Consider the following 18465-nt stretch of genomic DNA (forward strand, 5'->3'; position numbering starts at 1 on the left):
ATACATGAAGATGTGTCTCTTTCAAACCATTTCAGACACTTCTGAAGACAAAATATTTCAATGCTCACCTCAGTGATTTCCAGGCCAGGGTTAGTTATTGGAGAGAAATATCTCAAAAGTGGAAGCAGGTCCATCCAGTCACACCCCTGGGTGACCTCAGGCTTGGCTGCTAAACTATTTACCCCCATTAATTAAGAAAGGAGCAAAAATGCTGGGACTTCCAGCCTATTCTCCCCATGCCAGGTCTATACCTGGTCCATCCCCTTTTCAGCTCCCCACACCCCACCAAGTTTCAAATGAATGGAGTAATGACAACGATACCAACACCTGACATCTACTGGGCACTTACACGTGCCTGGCACTATGCCTAACACTCCATGTAAATTCCTTCATTTAAGTTCACCATACCCTCAGGAAGTGGGTGTCATTGCTACATCACCACCACCACCATCACCACCATCGTTATCATCATCACCATTTCATGCTGGATCCTGATGCTTATAGATCTTCTATAATTTACTCATGGAGATAAAGTACTTTCAGACTTTAAAGTCTGGAGCAAATGGCTCCAGAGCTGAGCTCTGTGTCCTCATTTCCTCTTCCTGCTTCCACATGGCTGTTAGGTAAACTGAGTCTGCATCCTTCCCAGGGTAGATAGGCTATCTCATTTGGCCCTCTTTGTCCATGCAGTGGATGTGGAAGAAGAGCTTAGGATGGGCACGGGTCAGTGGGGAGGAGAAGGCCCTCCTTAGAGCTCAAGGCTAAACTGCTTCTGTGCAGCCTCTGCTCGGCTTCTGCACCTATTAATCACGTAAAAATAATTGTTATACTATTAATCCAGGGCTTCTCTGATTCTTATTTCTCATATTGGTGTGTTAAGCTCCCAGGAGTACAGTAGTCCCCCTTCTCTGTGGTTTCATTTTTCTCAGTTTCAGTTACCCGCAGTCGACTGCAGTCTGAAAATATTAAATGGAAAATTCCAGAAATAAACAACTCATAAGTTTTAAATTGGGCACTGCTCTGAGCAGCAGGATAAAGCACTCTCCTACTCTGCCCTACCTGGGATGTGAACCGTCCTTTCGTCCAGAGTCTCCATGCTGGGTGCACTGCCCACCTGCTAGTCACTTGGGAGCTGCCATGTTTATCAAATCAACTATGCAGTATCACAGTGCTTATGTTCAGTCACCCTTATTTTCCTGAACCATGGCCTCAAAGCACAAGAGTTGTGTTACTAGCAATCTGGATATGCCAGAGTGAAGCCACAAAATGCTTCCTTTAAGTGAAAAGGTGAAAGTTATCCATTTAACAAGGAAAAAAGACTCCTATGCTGAAGTTGCTAAGAGCTATGGTTAAAAAAAAATCTTCTATCCATTGGGTAAGTTGTGAATTAGTGAAGAAGGAACAAGAAATTCATGCTAGTTTTTGCTGTTGCACCTCACACTGCGAAAGTTCCAGCCACAGTGCATGAACAGTGCTTAGTTAAGAAAAGAAAGGGCATTAAATCCCAGCACTTTGGGAGGCCGAGGCAGGAGGATCAGGAGGTCAGGAGATCGAGACCATCCTGGCTAACACGGTGAAGCCCTGTCTCTGCTAAAAATACAAAAAATTGGCCGGGTGTGGTGGCGGGGGCCTATAGTCCCAGCTACTCGGGACGCTGAGGAGGAGAATGGCGTGAACCCGGGAGGTGGAGCTTGCAGTGAGCTGAGATCGCGCCACTGCACTCCAACCTGAGCAACAGAGCAAGACTCCGTCTCAAAAAAAAAAAGAAAAAAAGAAAAAAAGAAAGGGCATTAAATTTGTGGGTTGAAGGCATGAACAGATACGTGTCCTTAACCTGATTGCCATCAATTTGGTACCATCCAGGGTTTTGGGCATCCACTTGGGGTCTTATTCCCATGGATAAGTGGGGACTATTATATTCCAAGAAGAGGAGAACTAACAGGCAGAGCAGGGTGTCTGGCCATGACACCATCCTCATTTTTAATAAAAGTGAACACAGGAAACACACTATATCCTTTGTGTTTATTAAGAAAAAAAAGCAATGTGATGATCTCCTTATCTTGGTTTTGCAAAGCTTAGATGTAACATCTTTGGGCTTGAGTGTCTTCAGACAGACACAGGGCAGGGCACGACAGGACGTGACTACGAAGGGGACTATGCACATCTACATCTAGACCATGCAGCCCTGGGACTCTACAGTCGGACTAAGATGACTCAACAGGCAATGCTTTAAAATAAACCACACAAACCGAGAGTTACAGCAATCAGAGGATTTCTTTAAAATCCTGGGCCAGCTATTAGTGACCAGCACTGCAGGACTATAAATAAAAGCCAGATATGAACTTTAAGTGTGAAGCAAATGTAAGGTATTATTATCACCGTCACAAAGATAATGGGATAACCACATTCTACAACCTATATATCTATCTCATAATTTCCAGGTTCAAAATTTCTATTACAAATTATTGCATCCTCCTGTGAAGACTGCAGCCTCTCAGGTGTCTTCCATACGACTAAAATGAAGAGGAAGCACAAGGTGTGTCTCTTACCTTCTCAGCCTCATTCCACATCTCAATCTCTCCTAGGAAGTTTTCCGGCCTTGTTGACAGGTTTAATTGAAAGGAGAAGCCAAATGTTGAGTAAACAGATTGCAAAAACTGCAAACACCCCTTTATTTCTTCTTCAATCTGAAATCAAAGCAAATGAAACATTCAAATAGAACATCAAATTCATTTATGTTTTAAAAAATACAATTCTTCATGTCAGACAGAAATAAAGCATGTTTTTAATGGAGTACAGTTGATGATCCTGTTTTGGTTGCTTATCCAATCCTGAGCTGAACCTTCGTTTGAGTGCTAGGCACGTGCAGGGAATGGAGAAGGAGTAGGCGAGGGAACCGTACTGTGAAAAGGCAGCGCCGCGCACAGGAGAGCGGCACGGAGGGGCTGCCCAGAGGAAGTGAGACTGAGCTGCAGCAGGGGACAAGCAAACGCTCTGCATGGAGCGGAAGCTCAGGAGCTCTGTGAGCAGAGGACACACTGAGTTGAAGGCTCCGTGGACAGAGGAGCAGACTAAGTCGGGGGGCTGCATACGATGGGCTGAAGGGCAGAGGGGCAGTGTGGTAGGTGGGCAGGGGCCAGAGAAAATTAAGTGCTTTCAAAGCCAGGCGAATGTATGGATTTTTTAGGCTGAGAACAACGGGGAGGCAATGAAGGGTTTTTGTTTTGTTTTGTTTTGTTTAAGCAGGGGACTAACATGAGTCAATGTGTTCTTTCACAGTATGTGGAATGAACTGGCAAGATTAGAAGAGAGCCCCATCAGGAAGCTGGCTGAGTCAATTAGGAGCAAGATGACAGTGGCTTAAACCAGAGAGAGGCAGCTGAAATGCAGGGAATTTGATGGATTTGAGACATCAAGTCTTTCATTCATTAACTGCAATGGCTAGTTTTTTGTTTTGTTTTGTTTTTTGAGACAGTCTTGCTCTGTCACCCAGGCTGGAATGCAGTGGTGTGGTCTTGGCTCACTGCAACCTCTGCCTCTCGGGTTCAAGCGGTTCTCATGCCTCAGGCTCCCGAGTAGCTGGAACTACAGGTGCTCGCCACCATGCTCGGCTAATTTTTGTATTTTTTTTTTTTTAGTAGAGAAGGGGTTTCGCCATGTTGGCCAGGCTGGTCTCGAACTCCTGGCCTCAAGTGACCCACCTGCCTCAGCCTCCCAAAGTGCTGGGATTATAGGCATGAGCCACTACACCCTTTTTTTTTTTTTTTTAAGTTCCTGGGTGCACGTGCAGGATGTGTAGTTTGTTACATAGGTATATGTGTGCCATGGTGGTTTGCTCCACCTATGAACCCGTCACCTAAGTATTTAAGCCCAGAATGCATTAGCTATTTATCCTGATGCTCTCCCTCCCTCCTCTTCCCTCCGACAGGCCCCAGTGTGTGTTGTTCCCCTCCCTGTGTCCATCTGTTCTCATTGTTCAGTTCCCACTTATAAGTGAGAACATATGGAGTTTGGTTTTCTATTCCTGTGTTAGTTTGCTGAGGATAATGGCTTGTGATGGCTACTTTTAAGTGTTAACTCGACTGAGCTAAAAGATGCCAGACAGCTGGCCACCCTTACAACATTTATTTCTGGGAATGCCTGTGAGTGCGTTTCTCGAAGAGATGAGCATCTGAATCAGTGGAATTGGTAAACAACTTCCACCCTCACCAATGTGGGTGGGCCTCATCCAATCTGTTGAGGGCAGGAATAGAACTCAAAGGCAGAGGAAAGGCAAATTCTCTCTCTTTTTGAGTTGGGACATTTATTTTCTCCTGTTCTCAGACACTGGAGCTCCTGGTTCTCAGGCCCACCAACTCTGGGACTTACACCAGCTCCCTCCTTTGCTCACCCCACTGAGGCTTTTGGCCTTAGACTGGGAGTTATACCATCAGCTTTCCTAGTTCTCCAGCTTTTTTTTTTTTTTGAGACGGAGTTTTGCTCTTGTTGCCCAGGCTGCAGTGCAATGGCACAGTCTCAGCTCACCACAACCTCCACCTCCCGGGTTCAAGCAATTCTCCTGTCTCAGCCTCCTGAGTAGCTGGGATTACAGGCACATGCCACCACGCCTGGCTAATTTTGTATTTTTAGTAGAGACAGGGTTTCTCCATGTTAGTCAGTCTAGTCTCGAACTCCCAACCTCAGGTGATCCACCCACCTCAGCCTCCCAAAGTGCTGGGATTACAGGCACGTGCCACCAAGCCTGGCTAATTTTGTATTTTTAGTAGAGACAGGGTTTCTCCATGTTAGTCAGTCTGGTCTCGAACTCCCAACCTCAGGTGATCCACCCACCTCAGCCTCCCAAAGTGCTGGGACTACAGGTGTGTGCTACCATGCCTGGCCTTTCTCCAGCTTTTAATTGGCATATCATGGGACTTCTTTTTTTTTGGGGGTCATTTTTTTTTTTTTTTTGAGATGGAGTATCACTGTCACCCAGGCTGGAGTGCAGTGGCATGATCTCGGCTCACTGCAACCTCTGCCTCCCAAGTTCAAGCGATTCTCTTGCCTCAGCATCCTGATAGCTGGGATTACAGGTGTGTGCCACCACACCCAGCTAATTTATGTATTTTTAGTAGAGATGGGGTTTCACCATGTTGGTCAGGCTGGTCTTGAACTCCTGACCTCATGATCTGCCTGCCTCAGCCTCCCAAAGTGCTGGAATTACAGGCATGAGCCACCTCACCCAGCCTGGGTCATATTTTTTAATCTACTATGTCAATCTCTTTTAATTGGTTTATTTAGACCATTTACACTTAATATGTTAGGGCTTTACACTGCCTTTTTGTTTCCTTCTTGTTCTCTCTTGTTATTCATTTCTGTTTTATTTTTCCTGTCTTCCTATGGATTACTTTAACATTTTTCTGGAATTCAATTCCAATTTATCTATAGGTTCTCTTAGTGTATCCCTGTCTATAGCTTTTTTTTTTATTGGTTTCTCTAGGTATTATATAACTTATCAGTCCAGATATTGTCACTTTACCAGCTCAGGTGAAGTACAAAAACTTTTATTCCCTATACCTTACCCCATTTATAGTATAATTTTCTTAAACATTTCTTCTACATACATTTAGAACATCAGAAAGAACATGTGATTTTTACTTCAATGATCAAACATAATTTAGAAAACGCAAAAGGAGAAGGAAAATATATTGTATTTACCTGTTTTTATTTTCACAATCTTTTTCTTCCTAAAGTTCCCTGATTCCTCTTTTCATCATTTCCTTTCTGTTTAGAAAACTTCCTACAGCCATTCTTTTGGTGGGTCCAATGTCTTGATTTCCCCTCAATTGCTGAAGGGTATTTTCTTTAGACATAGAATTCTGGGTTGAAAATTCCTTTTTCTTTTTTCAGCACTTTAAAAGTATTGTGCCACTTCCTTCTGGCCTCCAGGATTTTTGTTTTTTGTTTTTTAATGAGAAATTGCTATCATTCAAATTGTTTTTCTCTTTAAAGGTAATGCATAATTTCTCTCTCATTGCTTTCAAGCCTTTCCTTTGTCTTTAGTTTTCAGTTTACTATGATATATCTTGGTGTAGGTTTCTTGGAGTTTATCCTGAACAGCTTTCTTGAATCTGTAGATGTCTTTTGCCAAATTTGGCAAGTTGTCAGCTATTATTTCTTTGAGTACTTTTTCACTCCCACCTTCAGTCTCCTCTCCTTCCAAAATTATGATGATATGAATGTTAGATATCTTGTTATATCCCACTGTTCTCAGGCTCTGTTCTTTTCTCTTTCAGTCTGTTTTCTCTATGTTTTTCAGATTGTGTAATTTCTGTTCTTGTCATTATGTCTGTCTTCACCATTCTGCTCATGAATCTATTCACTGAATATTATATTTCTCAGTTCAAAATTTCCATTTGGTTCTTCTTTATATCTTCTATTTCTTTCCTGAGATTTTCTGTTTCTTCGCTGACTTTGTAATTTTTGTTTGTTTCAAGTGTGTTAGTAATTGCTCATTAGTTAGTAATTGCATTTTTATGGTGGTTGCTTTAAAATCTCTGGCAGATAATTGTAACATCTTTGTTATTTCAGTGTTACCGTTCATAGATTGTCTTTTTAAATTCAAGTTGAGATTTTTCTTGTTCTTAGCATGATGAGTGATTTTCAATTTCTTAAACCTGGACATTTTCGGTTTTATAGTAAGCCTCTGGATCTTAAATGTTGTTTTAGCTGACTTCCACTGACACTCTTCCAGCAGAGGGAGGACAGTACTGGACAGTTACTGGCAAGTGGGAAAAGCAGTCCAAGCTCCTTTTAGAAAGGAAGTAAGGGGAGAGGAGCTCCTCGTTACTTCTGGGTTGCACAGGTGTTCTAGCCCCCCTCCATGGCCTTTACTGCACACAGAAAGCATGGCCTCATGACCAATTGGCAGTGAGAAAGTCTTATCTTTCCACTAGACGTCTTCTGACACTACTCAAGCAGGACTGGAAGAGGCACCTCATTACTTCCAGGGGAGGGCAAAAGTCCAGGCTCCCCACATAGTCTTCACTGACACTGCTGGGTTGGGGGAGGGGGATGGGATCTTGTTAATGCAGGAGTAAAATTCCCAGCTTCCTAATAAGCCTTCTCTTACCCATTCCAACAGGTATTGAGGTACTTATTTAGAGCCTGCTGAGAGTTAAAATATAAGCTTCTCAATCAGCCTTAGCTGGCATATAAAGGGCCACAGTTTTTTCTGTGGTGTCTGGTTGAAATAGAGTAGATATTGTCTAAAACTTTTCTATCTTTCTAGGCTGCCCCTTTCCTAGTCCTTTGGCTACAGCAAGCAGACTTCTGTTGGCCTGTTTTATCGATGCCTGTTGGCATCTGTTGGTTGCCAAGTCTGGAATATATGTGGCAAAACAAAACAAAACAAAAACACCTAAGGAACTCACTACCATGTTGTTTCTTAGGTCCTGATGTCCATAGCCAGTGTGCCCTTTTTCTCAACACCTTTCAGAGTCTCGTGTTTGTTTTATATGTAATATCCAAGGTTTTTACTTGTTCTTAGAGGGAAGGAAAGGGAAAGCACCTGCTTCATCTTCCCCAAAGCAGGTCTTTTTTGCTCATTGTTTAACTGGGTTGTCTGTTTTCTTATTGAGGTTTGAATATTTGTTAAGTATTCTGGATTCAAGTCCTTTATTTGATATATGCCTCACAAATATTTTCTCCCAGTCTGTAACCTGTCTTTCCTGTCTATGATCAGTATTTTTTGAAGAGCAGAAGTTTTAAATTTTGAGGAATCCAATTTATCAACTTTTTTCTTTTATGGATTGCCCTTTGGTGTCATATCTGAGAAATCATCACCTATCACCTAATTACAAAGATTTTCCCCAATTTTTATTCTAGAAGTTTTGTATTTTTATGTTTGACATTTAGGCCTGTGATTCATCTTAATTTTTTCATATGGTATGAGGTATGAATCCTCATACCTCATGTTTTGCATATGGATACACAATCATTCCAGCATCATTTGTTGAACATATTACCTTTCCTCCATTTTATTGCCTTCGAATCTTAATTAAAAATCAGTTGTCCATATATTTGTGTCTATTTCTAGACTCTGTTTTGCTGATTTATCTATCTAGACCAGCATGATTACTGTAGTTTCTCATAATTCTTGAAACCAAGCATAGTGACTCTTCCAAATTTGTTTTTATCTTTCAAAGTTCTTTTGGCTATTCTAGGTTCTTGTGCTTTCTATACGAATTTTAGAATCAGCATGTCAACTCTTACAGGGAAAAAAGGTCTGCTTGGGTATTGACTGGGATTGTACTGACTTTATAGATCAACTTGGGGATAACTGATATTTTAATAATATTTAGTCTTCCAAACCACGAACAAGGTATATTTCATTTATTTAGGCCTTCTTTAAATTTATCTCAGCAATGTTTTAAAGTTTTCACTGTATAGGTTGTGTATGTATGTATTACTCAGCTTGGGCTGCCAGAACAAAAATCCATAGGCTGTGTGGCTTAAATAAGAATCATTTATTCTTCACAGTTCTGCAGGCTGGGAAATCCAAGATCAATGTGCCAGCTGATTCAGTTCCCTGGTGAGGGCTTTCTTCCTAGTTTGCCAACGGCTGACTTCTCACTGTGTCCTCACACGGCAGAGAGAATCAGAAAGCCTCTGGCATCTCCTTAAAAGGGCACTAATCGTATCATGAGGGTTCCATCTTCATAATCTCATCTACACCTAATTACTTCCCAAAAGCCCCATTTCCAAACACCATCACATTGGGGGTTAGGACTTCAACATATAAATTTTGGGAGTCACAATTCAGTCCATAGCAACATATTTGTCAGTCTTATCCCAAAGTACTATCATATGTTTTGAGATGCTATTACAAATTGTTTCTTATTTGCAATTTCCAAGGGTTTATTATTATGAAATGCATATACAATTCATTTTTGTATGTTGATATTCCATACTACAATTTTTCTAAATTCACCTTACTTCTAATAGCTTTCTGTAGATTCCATCTGATCTCTACATAGATGATCATGTCATTTACAAGAGTTTTAATTCTTTCCAATCTAGGTGTTTTTTATTTCTCTTTCTTAACTTACTGCATCAGAAAGAACCTGCAGTACAATGATCAGAGAAGTAATGAGATAATCCTTACCTAATATCTGATTTTAAGAGTAAAGCATTCAGACTCTCACTATTAAGTATGAGGTTAGCTGTAGGTTTTTCATAGAGGCCTTTTATCAGGTTAAGAAAGTTCCCTTCCATTCCTAGTTTTGAGAGTTTTTATGAGATATGGATGTAGAATTTTGCCAAATACTTTTCCCTGCATCTACTGAGAAGATAATATGCTTTTTGTCTTTTTGTTTGTTTTCTTTTTTTTAGTTTGTGAATGTGGGGAATTACAATGATTCATTTTCTAATGTTAAACTACCTTTTCATTCCTGGGATTCAGTCCATTTGATTAAGATGTCCTTTTTAAAAAATTACTAGATTTGACTTAGTAAAATGTTGTTTAAATTTTTTGATTTTATGTTCATGAGAGATGTTCAGTAGTTTTCTTTTAATTTCTTTGTCTTATTTTTCTATCACAGCAATATTAGCTTCATTAGCTTCATGAGGTGGTGAAGATTTCCTCCTCTTCAATTTTCTGGAAGAGTATCTCTAGATTGGTATTATTCCTTCTTTAATGTTTGGTAGAATTCACCAGTAAAACCATCTTGGCCTGGAGTTTTCTGTGTAGGAAGGTTTTTAACTATCAATTCAATTTCTGTAGTAGACACAGGGCTATTCAGATGATCTACTTCTTCTTGAGTAAAGTTTAATAGTTTTGTCTTTCAAAGATTTATCCATTTCATCTAAGCTGTCAAATGTATGAGCATAAAGTTATTCATAAAACTGCCTTATCTTTTTAACAGCTACAGAATCTGTAGTGATGACATCTGTCTCATTCCTGACATTTTTATTTGTCTTTTTTCCCTCATCAGTCTGACTAAAGGTTTATCAATTTTATTGATCTTCTCAGAGAACCAGCTTTTGTTTTATTTTTACTCTTTATTTTCTATTTCAGTGATTTCTGCTCTGCTCTTTCTTATTTTCTTTCTTTTGCTTCCATTACATTGGGTGTAATTTGTTCTTCTTTTTCTATCTTAAGTAAAAGCTAAGTCATTGATTTTTCTTTTCTAATGCAGGTATTCAGTGCTATAAACATCCCTCTACCACTTAAATCGCATCCTACAAATTTTGATGTGTTTTTATTTCATTTGTTATATAAAATTGTCTAATTTTCCTTTGGATTTTGTGTTATCTATTTTTAATTCTATTGTGGTCAGTTAGGATTAGGGTTAAACATTAGGGTTAATTAAACATTTTATTTTAATTGCATCCCTTTCAACTCACTGAGACTTGTTTTATGGTCCAGAATATGGTCTATTTTAGTAAATATTCTACGTGCAATTTCAAAGAACAAATACTCTGAGCTTTTTGTAGTTCATAAGCGTGATGACTGGGTGTACACACATGTGTAAGATGTACCTCCCTCACACCTCGGTACAACATTGGCATATTACCCACCCCACATGAAGCACATTGGATACAACACTGGCACATTACCCATCCAACATGAAACCAAAGAATGTATATTCTGCTGTTGTTATATAAACATCAATTAGGTCAAATTGTTTGACAGTGAAACTTTGCATGGCAATTTTAACTTGAATTAACACAAAAACTTGAAAAAGTAAATTTTAAGTTCTAGGCGATACTGAAAAACAAAACATCCAGAATTCCACCAAATCCCTTAAAATACTCCACTTAATGGAATTTAGGTTAATAAAATCACTGAAGGAATATATTTCATGTCAAGAGATGATTAATCTATTGACCTAATTTAGAGAATCACAGCAGGTTAGAGCTGAATGAATCTCAGAGACTAGACCAAACGTCTATGTTTCAGTAACTCTGAAAGAATACAAGATGTGTGCGGGGCATCACACTCAATTTGTGACCACACTGCTTCACTCTGTGTTATTGTTTACCTGCTCCACTGTGCAAAAAATGTGAGCATCGTCCTGCTGGAAGCGCCTCACTCTGGTCAAGCCGCTGAGAGTCCCCGACAGTTCATTTCTATGCAGAACTCCAAAATCAGCAAATCTAATAGGCATTTCCCTCCAAGATCGTGGACGATGGGCAAACATTAGACTAGAAAAGATGTGGTAACACACAGCTTTTACACAGCACAGAAATATTAAATAATTATCTAAATATAAAGAAATTACAATTAAGCCTCAAGATTCATAAACTCCTTATTCTAGTTCTTAGATCACCAGGTTAAAAAAAAAATTCTTCCACAAATTAGTGAACCTTGCATTTACATCACTGCAGCACTCTGAGAAAGATGCTTGTCTATTATCTCTTCCCAGAAATGCTGTTCCCTCCCCTTATCCACACAGTGAATCACCATTTACTGTTTATGATTCATTTCAAAGGCTACTTCTTAAATGAAGCCCTCCTAGACATTTCCCAGACAGGGCTAGGCAGTTTCTCCTCACGTTCCTGGAACACCTCAAACATGCCATCATTATGGCACTGGTCTTTTTATAACAGATTGTCTACATGCATGGCCCTGCCCACTCTGCTCATGAGTTCCATGAGGGAATGGTTTGTGTCTTAATCACCTCTGCACTTCTAGCTCCAAGCACAAAAAGCACTCAACTATGTTCTCTGTTGAATGAAAGACTTCTCTCCTGCAGAAAGCACTCCTAGCTTCCATATCCCATTGCCTCTAAGCCACCGTGGTCTTGCTTTCTTATTCTGAGGTGTAAAAAGACAAACTTAAATTCTCTACTTTCATTATAAAGTACGAGGCTATAATTTTAAAGGATGCCTTTGAGAAGATGAGTTAAGAAATTGTTAACACAAGTGTTTTACAATGCAAAACACTAGCATAGCTTCTACCTTCTGTTTAGAAAGAGAGGATACAGAATGTTTACATACCGGTGTTCCTAAAATTAAAGTTATATATATTTTTTACATGACATCATCATAAAGTTAAATTTCTTCTCATCTTCACTTAAAAGGGCAAAGAGCTTTCTTCAGTGTTCAGTTACCGGTTTTAATAATTATCTTCTAGGTAAATTTACTTGAAACTATGTATGTTGATAATACAAAAACTACAATTGTTGGGATTGTTTTTTGTGGACAATTATGCCTATTCAGTTTCAGTTGTACAATATGTTTGTCTTACAAGGTTGAATTTGCATACCAACTTTATGATAATTAGTCTTTCATAGAATCAAAGACAGCATTGATTGTAAAATGTATCTTCATTTTATGTGCTACAAAGAAAGAAAATAACCTATTAATTAAATTATGATATAATGCTAAGATGCCACCAACTATAAGATGCATTTCAACTTCAGAAATGTTGAAATGTGGAAGAAAAATGGTATCTTGGAATCAGTGAAATCCAGAAACCCATTGATTATGACCTCATTGATCTTGTTATAATCCACCCAAACAGTATGAAAGAACTAAATATTCTGCAAATATGAACATGTGAAGTGCATTACTATAAGAAAGACAAATATTATAAAACTTATAAAATTGACACATAACATTATCCTTTAATCAGCACAAAAAAATGCAATGGTTACCAGCTAACATCCCATACCTGCCAAAGATCAAATATATTTTCAAAAGTAAATCCATTCTCCGGAATGAAACAACTTAGTAAAAATTAGTAATCACCACTCTTCAGATTAAAGGGACTCTTTCATTCCACAAAGCATTAAAAGATAATTGTGACGAAGCGTGCTATGTGCTCTCATGAAAAGGTCTGCTTCGCTTTTAATACTCACCAGTGCCCTGGACAATTCATGGGTTTGAGGGCAAAAGTGTCCTTTTCAATCTCAAAGGTAAACATGTTCTCGCTGTAATGCTGCCAGTGGCCTGAGGCTTCCCAGAGTTTACTGTTGTACATATTGGGAGAGAGCACCTCCGTGAAGTCCCGTTTGTGATATTCCTCCTTCAAGATACATGCATTCAACATTAAAATCTGCTAGGGCAGATCACAATTCCATGCAAAGTAACACTATGAGCAAATATTTTCAAATTGGGCTCATGTCCTATATTAATTCATGATTAATGTACCCTCAGTTTTAGGTGTGGTGGTTTCTGGATCTTGGAAGAAAGATTTACATATGCTTAGTATAATTTCTATTGAGTATATTTATTTTATAGCATATAACAGTATATAGTATATAATGTTTTAGTTCTTTGAAAAGTAGTAATTGAAATACAATATATATAGAAACTCACTGTAACTACTCCAAAGTCCTTCTAAACAGGTTTTTTCCTATTAAGAGGCAGAAAAAATTTATAATTTAATAAGCCTGAATGCCATGTTGCATGTTATAATTTTGATTTATTTAGTTTTAAACAGAAATAAGAATTTTAGTGTATAACGATTTAAGTAGTTGAAATTATTAAGTCATGAGCTGGCCTCTCTCCCTCCCTACCTATTAACAGCTTCCCTAATTGAATTACTGGAGACAGGAGAAGAGAGTTTTTTTCCAAGCAAAGTTTTAACTTTATTTAAACTTTCTTTAAAAACAAAACAATTAGGTGATCTTTGTTGGGTAAATATTTTATGTGCACTTTCCAAAAATGCATATTCTGCTGTTGTTTTACAAATGTCAATTAGGTCAAATTGTTTTGACAGTAATTTGATAGGGACCCTTTGCATGACAGTTTTAATTTGGATGAACACAAAAAGCTGAATAAGTAAGAATTCTGAGAATCCTTAGATTCTCAACATTTGTAAACCACTTAATGGACATCTGGCCCAAATCTAGAATGCCATGTATACTTTGAGCACATTTGAAAAACTGTTTTCACAGCTAAAAAAACATAAAACATAACATTTTAAGATTACTAACAATGGTTTTATACAACTGAAAGGAATGTTGTCTGTTATTCTTCAGCAGGGCATCCTGGCAGTCCACGGTAGACAGCTTAGGTCTCGGCCATTCAGTGAGCTGCTTTACCTATCCTTTGTTTTTACTAAATTAGAAAACCTTAACAGGTAGGGTGTGGTGGCTCACGCCTGTAATCCCAGCACTTTGGGAGGCCAAGGTAAGTGCATCACCTGAGGTCAGGAGTTTGAGACCAGCCTGGCTAACATGATGAAACCCCATCTCCACTAAAAATACAAAAATTAGCCAGGCGTGGTGGCACACACCTGTAATCCCAGCTACTCAGGAGGCTGAAGCAGGAGAATCGCTTGAACCCAGGAGGCAGAGGTTGCAGTGAGCCAAGGTCACGCCATTGCACTCCAGCCTGGGCAACAAAGCTAGACTCCATCTCAAAAAAAGAAAGAAAATGTTTAACAAAATGATGTCATTAAGAATGGCAGTGATTATTGGCTATTTCAGATGGTTCCATATATTCAGATTAAACAAGGTCCCAGAAATTAAGGGTGAGTGTGTGGGTGTGTGTGTGGCAGGGTGTGCGTGTTCGCTTTTACTAAAAACTACTTTTAAAGTCTAGCTCAGGAGATACTGCTCAATGCATTTTTAATTCACTCTGAATGCAACCATGTTAGGAATGTATGTCTTCTTGAGATGTTTAGAAATGATTTTAAACTATCCCTGCAATGGACTGAATGTGTCTCCCCCAAAATTGTGATATTGATACCTTAACCCCAAGGTGATGGTATTAGGAAGTAGGGCCTCTGACAAGTGATTAGGTCATAAGGGTAGAGCCCTCATGAATGAGATTAGTGTCCTTATAAAAGGATTCGCAGAGAGCTCTCTGGTCCTCTTTCTGCCATCTGAGGTTACAAGAAGTCAGCAGTCTGCAACCTGGAAGAGGGCCCTCACCAGAACCCAACCATGCTGGGACCCTAATCTTAGACTTACTGCCTCTAGAACTGTGAGAAATACCCTTATGTTGTTTATAAGCTACCCAGTCTAGGGTACTTTGTTATAGCAGCACAAACTAATGAATATAATCCCTATGAGATGAAGTGTCAGCAACTATTATATTTTTACATAAATATATAGGAGATATCTATATATATTATGCTGCTGTATCTCTCCATATTGTAATATACATATTGTTTTGTCTCTCACACACACATATAAATAACAGAGAGATAAAGCAAACTGGCAAAATATTACCAACTAATGAATCCAAATGAAGGAAATATGGATGTTCATTGCATTGCATTTTAGTTTTTCTCTAGATTTGAACTTTTCAAGAGAAAAAGTTGGGGAGTAAAATATGTCTCATGCCATGCCATTAATTTCTTTCTCTAATGCTGGGAAAGAGTAAACTCTCAGTGACTGAGCAGTTCACAGCTCAGTCCAGTCTCCTGAAGAAATCCAGATAACTTATCTGGAACATTAAAAATCATATTTCATCCTGGAAATACCAGTTTAGGTTATTGAAGGAGCTGAGTCTCTACCCATACCTAGTGATCTGGCCACTTAAAAACATCTAAATAGCTTCTAAGAATCAGTGTCATAAATTTGTTTTCAAGTAATTTCTCATTGTAAAAAATAAGGCAATTCCACATAAACAGCTCCTTTCCAAAACCCCATTAAAATAAGAGTAAAGAAAGTTTTTATAAGAGCATAAATCTACCAGGACAAAGAAAATAGGAGAGAAGATGAATGCTATAATAAGTTAGAATCTGCAAAGTAGGTGATCAAGTGTTAATTGCCTCAGAAGACCTAGGAAAGCCAAAACTAAATTGGCAGTGGGAGAAACCCAGAAGCAAGCTACTTTAACTGGGTATAGATTTCTAGGCTTCGCATTACTAAGGCATTGTTCCTGTCTTCTGTTTTTCAGTGTTTCCACTGAAAATTTCAATGCCATTCAGATACCCAGTCCTATGTCTGTGGCTTTTTTCTCTCTGGAAACATTCAGGATATTTTCTTTATCCTTGGAGCTTTGGAATCTTTCGATAACATGTTTTGGTGCCCAAAGTATGTTTTCACCAAAAACTGAGACATGCTTGGGAGTTGAGATTGTCCATTGCCCATTATGGGCTCCCTTTACTATAGAACTGATAGACAGAAAAGGACTTACTACCCTTGATCCCAATTACTTGGGGAAAGACTTACTACCCTTGATCGCAATTACTGGGAGAAGTCGTATTGCTTACAATGGAGTAAGGAGGACTGTGTCTGGAATTCAGTGGGGAGCCTTTGATATCAACACATCTAGCAACAACCATCAGTGGGAGCCCTGAAACCCCACAAAGAGCATTACTAAAACCTTGGATCCTAAGGACAGACTGAGGCCATCCACTATTATTGGTTTAACTGTATTCTCCAAATAAGATATTTTGAAGTCCTAACTCCTAGTACTTCAGAATGTGTCCTTATTTGGAAGTAGGGTCTTTATAGAGGTAATCAAATTAAAATGAGATCATTAGGGTAGATCCTAATACTATATGGCTGGTCTCTTTATAAAAAGGAGAAATCTGGACACAGAGACAGATGCACACAAGGGGAAGACAATGTGAAGACACGCAGGGAGAACATCACGTGAAGACAGAGGATGGGAATGACGCTTCAACAAGCCAAGGAACACTAAAGATGACTGGCAACCAACAGTAGCTAGGAGAAGGCAAGGAAGGATTCCCCCATGGGTTTTAGAGGGAACACAGCCTCGTCAACACCTTGATTTCACACTTCTGGCCTCCAAAACTGGGAGATAATAAATTTCTGTTGTTTTAAGTCACCTAGTTTATGGTATTTTGTTATAATACCCTAGGAAACTAATGCACCCACCAAATAAAACAATGCCCATCTGGGGTGCCACCAGGATAAGGCGAATGTGGAATGAGTGATGGGAAAAGAAGGCTCTGATGTATCAGCTTGGCCCTAGCGTCCATCTACAGAGGCTGAAACAGTTACATTTAGTTATGACTTTTCCTTGCATTCTTACATGAAGGGCACTCATGGTGGCCAATGGCACGATTCAGATTTAGGTGAAACTGAAATGACATCACCACATGATGACACATCGGCTGATCGGAGTTTGTGGGAGGAAACCAATGTCCTCAGTGTCCTCCAAGCAAAAGGCAAGAATGTGCTGAGAGGCACAGGGGGTGAGCCAGGCTGGTTATTTTCCATTTGCCACTGCCTGTCTCGCCTCATCTTGGCCCATTTTCCTTCCTTCTCTGCCCTGCACTGTGTTCCCCAAAGCTGACTTCTGTGGGCTCCGCACAAGGCTTACTTGCTGTGATTATTATTTTTTTATTTTATAAAATATATACTTTTAAACACAATAGTATAATACAACATGCTTAAATTATGTTTCATGTGGAAAAAAATAAGGTGTATAAAGAAAACCTGAACATTTTCTCTCATTCCACCCTTTACTGCCCTGAGATAATGCTAATGGCCTGCTGTTCCTGTATTTCAACCCTCTCCTCCATGACTGTGCAAACACAAAACACACATACAGGATTTTGTTGTTTTTTGCTTTTACCTATAAAAAGAAAGGATACACTATACATTTACTCTGTCACTTCCAGTTTTCAATGGTGAGGTATACTGAACCCCCTTCAAGTTAGTATGCATAGATGTATTTTTGTACTAACTGCATAGTGCTTTATTGTGTGGACATGTCACAAAGTATTTAATCCTTCTACTATTGAGAAACATTAGACTTTTCATTTTTGAATACTACAAACTATTCTGCAGTAAAGTTTTTTTCTATGTGATTTTAATTGTATATTTTAGATTCCTTTCTAAGAATATTGCTAGGAGTGTGCATTTTTTTCACATTAATATTTGTTACCAGATTAGTAGCAATTTAAACTTTCTCTCTAAGTATATGATAACTGTTTCCTCACATTTCCTTCAGCAATGAAAATTATTTAATGGGTATCAATCTTTTTTTTTGAAATGGAGTCTCGCTCTGTCACACAGGCTGGAGTGAAGTGGCGTGATCTCAGCTCACTGCAAGCTTCGTCTCCTGGGTTCACACCATTCTCCTGCCTCAGCCTCCCGAGTAGCTGGGACTACAGGCGCCCACCACCACGCCTGGCTAATTTTTTTGCATTTTTAGTAGAGATGGGGTTTCACCGTATTAGCCAGGATGGTCTTGATCTCCTGACCTCATGATCCACCCGCCTCAGCCTCCCAAAGTGCTGGGATTACAGGCATGAGCCACTGCGCCCGGCCAATGGGTATCAGTCTTAGAACTATTACCTCAGTATTTATATATATATATATATATTTTTGAAACAGAGTGTTGCTCTCTTGCCCAGGCTGGAGTGCAGTGGCACAATCTTGGCTCACTGCAGCCTCTACCTCCTGGGTTCAAGCAATTCTCCTGCCTCAGCCTCCCAAGTAGCTGAGATCACAAATGTGCACCACTACGCCTGGCTAATTTTTGTATTTTTAGTAGACACAGGGTTTCACCATGTTGGCCAGGCTGGTCTCGAACTCCTGGCTTCAA

The 18465-nt window shown here is 39.2% G+C and overlaps 1 protein-coding gene and 1 non-coding gene across 6 annotated transcripts in view, besides 2 other annotated features; one reads left to right on the top strand and one right to left on the bottom strand.

The window, feature by feature from the left end:
* Positions 1–18465, bottom strand: part of TARS3 (threonyl-tRNA synthetase 3) — a 70878-nt gene that overhangs the window by 19455 nt on the left and 32958 nt on the right. For 4 of the 5 annotated variants that reach the window (NM_152334.3, XM_047432142.1, XM_047432140.1 and 1 more), the window contains 3 exons: positions 12846–13012; positions 11025–11187; positions 2550–2687 (listed from right to left, as the gene is read on the bottom strand). In NM_152334.3, coding sequence (NP_689547.2) covers positions 2550–2687; positions 11025–11187; positions 12846–13012 — 468 coding nt within the window. Of the gene's footprint in view, positions 1–2549; positions 2688–11024; positions 11188–12845; positions 13013–18465 lie in introns of those variants that run through there. The other variant, XR_007064422.1, reaches the window with a different exon arrangement.
* Positions 2497–3021: an enhancer, noted in NCBI's record as "H3K4me1 hESC enhancer chr15:102215750-102216274 (GRCh37/hg19 assembly coordinates)". NCBI's record gives its function as "activates a minimal SCP1, AML or CMV promoter by ChIP-STARR-seq in naive H9 embryonic stem cells {active_cell/tissue: H9 hESC(naive)}" and the evidence as "EXISTENCE:reporter gene assay evidence [ECO:0000049][PMID:30033119]".
* Positions 3022–3544: an enhancer, noted in NCBI's record as "NANOG-H3K4me1 hESC enhancer chr15:102216275-102216797 (GRCh37/hg19 assembly coordinates)". NCBI's record gives its function as "activates a minimal SCP1, AML or CMV promoter by ChIP-STARR-seq in naive H9 embryonic stem cells {active_cell/tissue: H9 hESC(naive)}" and the evidence as "EXISTENCE:reporter gene assay evidence [ECO:0000049][PMID:30033119]".
* On the top strand, positions 10465–10566 carry LOC124903609 (small nucleolar RNA U13). Its single transcript, XR_007064834.1, has one exon. It is a non-coding gene; the product is annotated as a small nucleolar RNA U13 (small nucleolar RNA).

This window comes from Homo sapiens, chromosome 15, assembly GCF_000001405.40.
Source record: "Homo sapiens chromosome 15, GRCh38.p14 Primary Assembly".
Classification (NCBI taxonomy): Eukaryota; Metazoa; Chordata; class Mammalia; order Primates; family Hominidae; genus Homo; species Homo sapiens.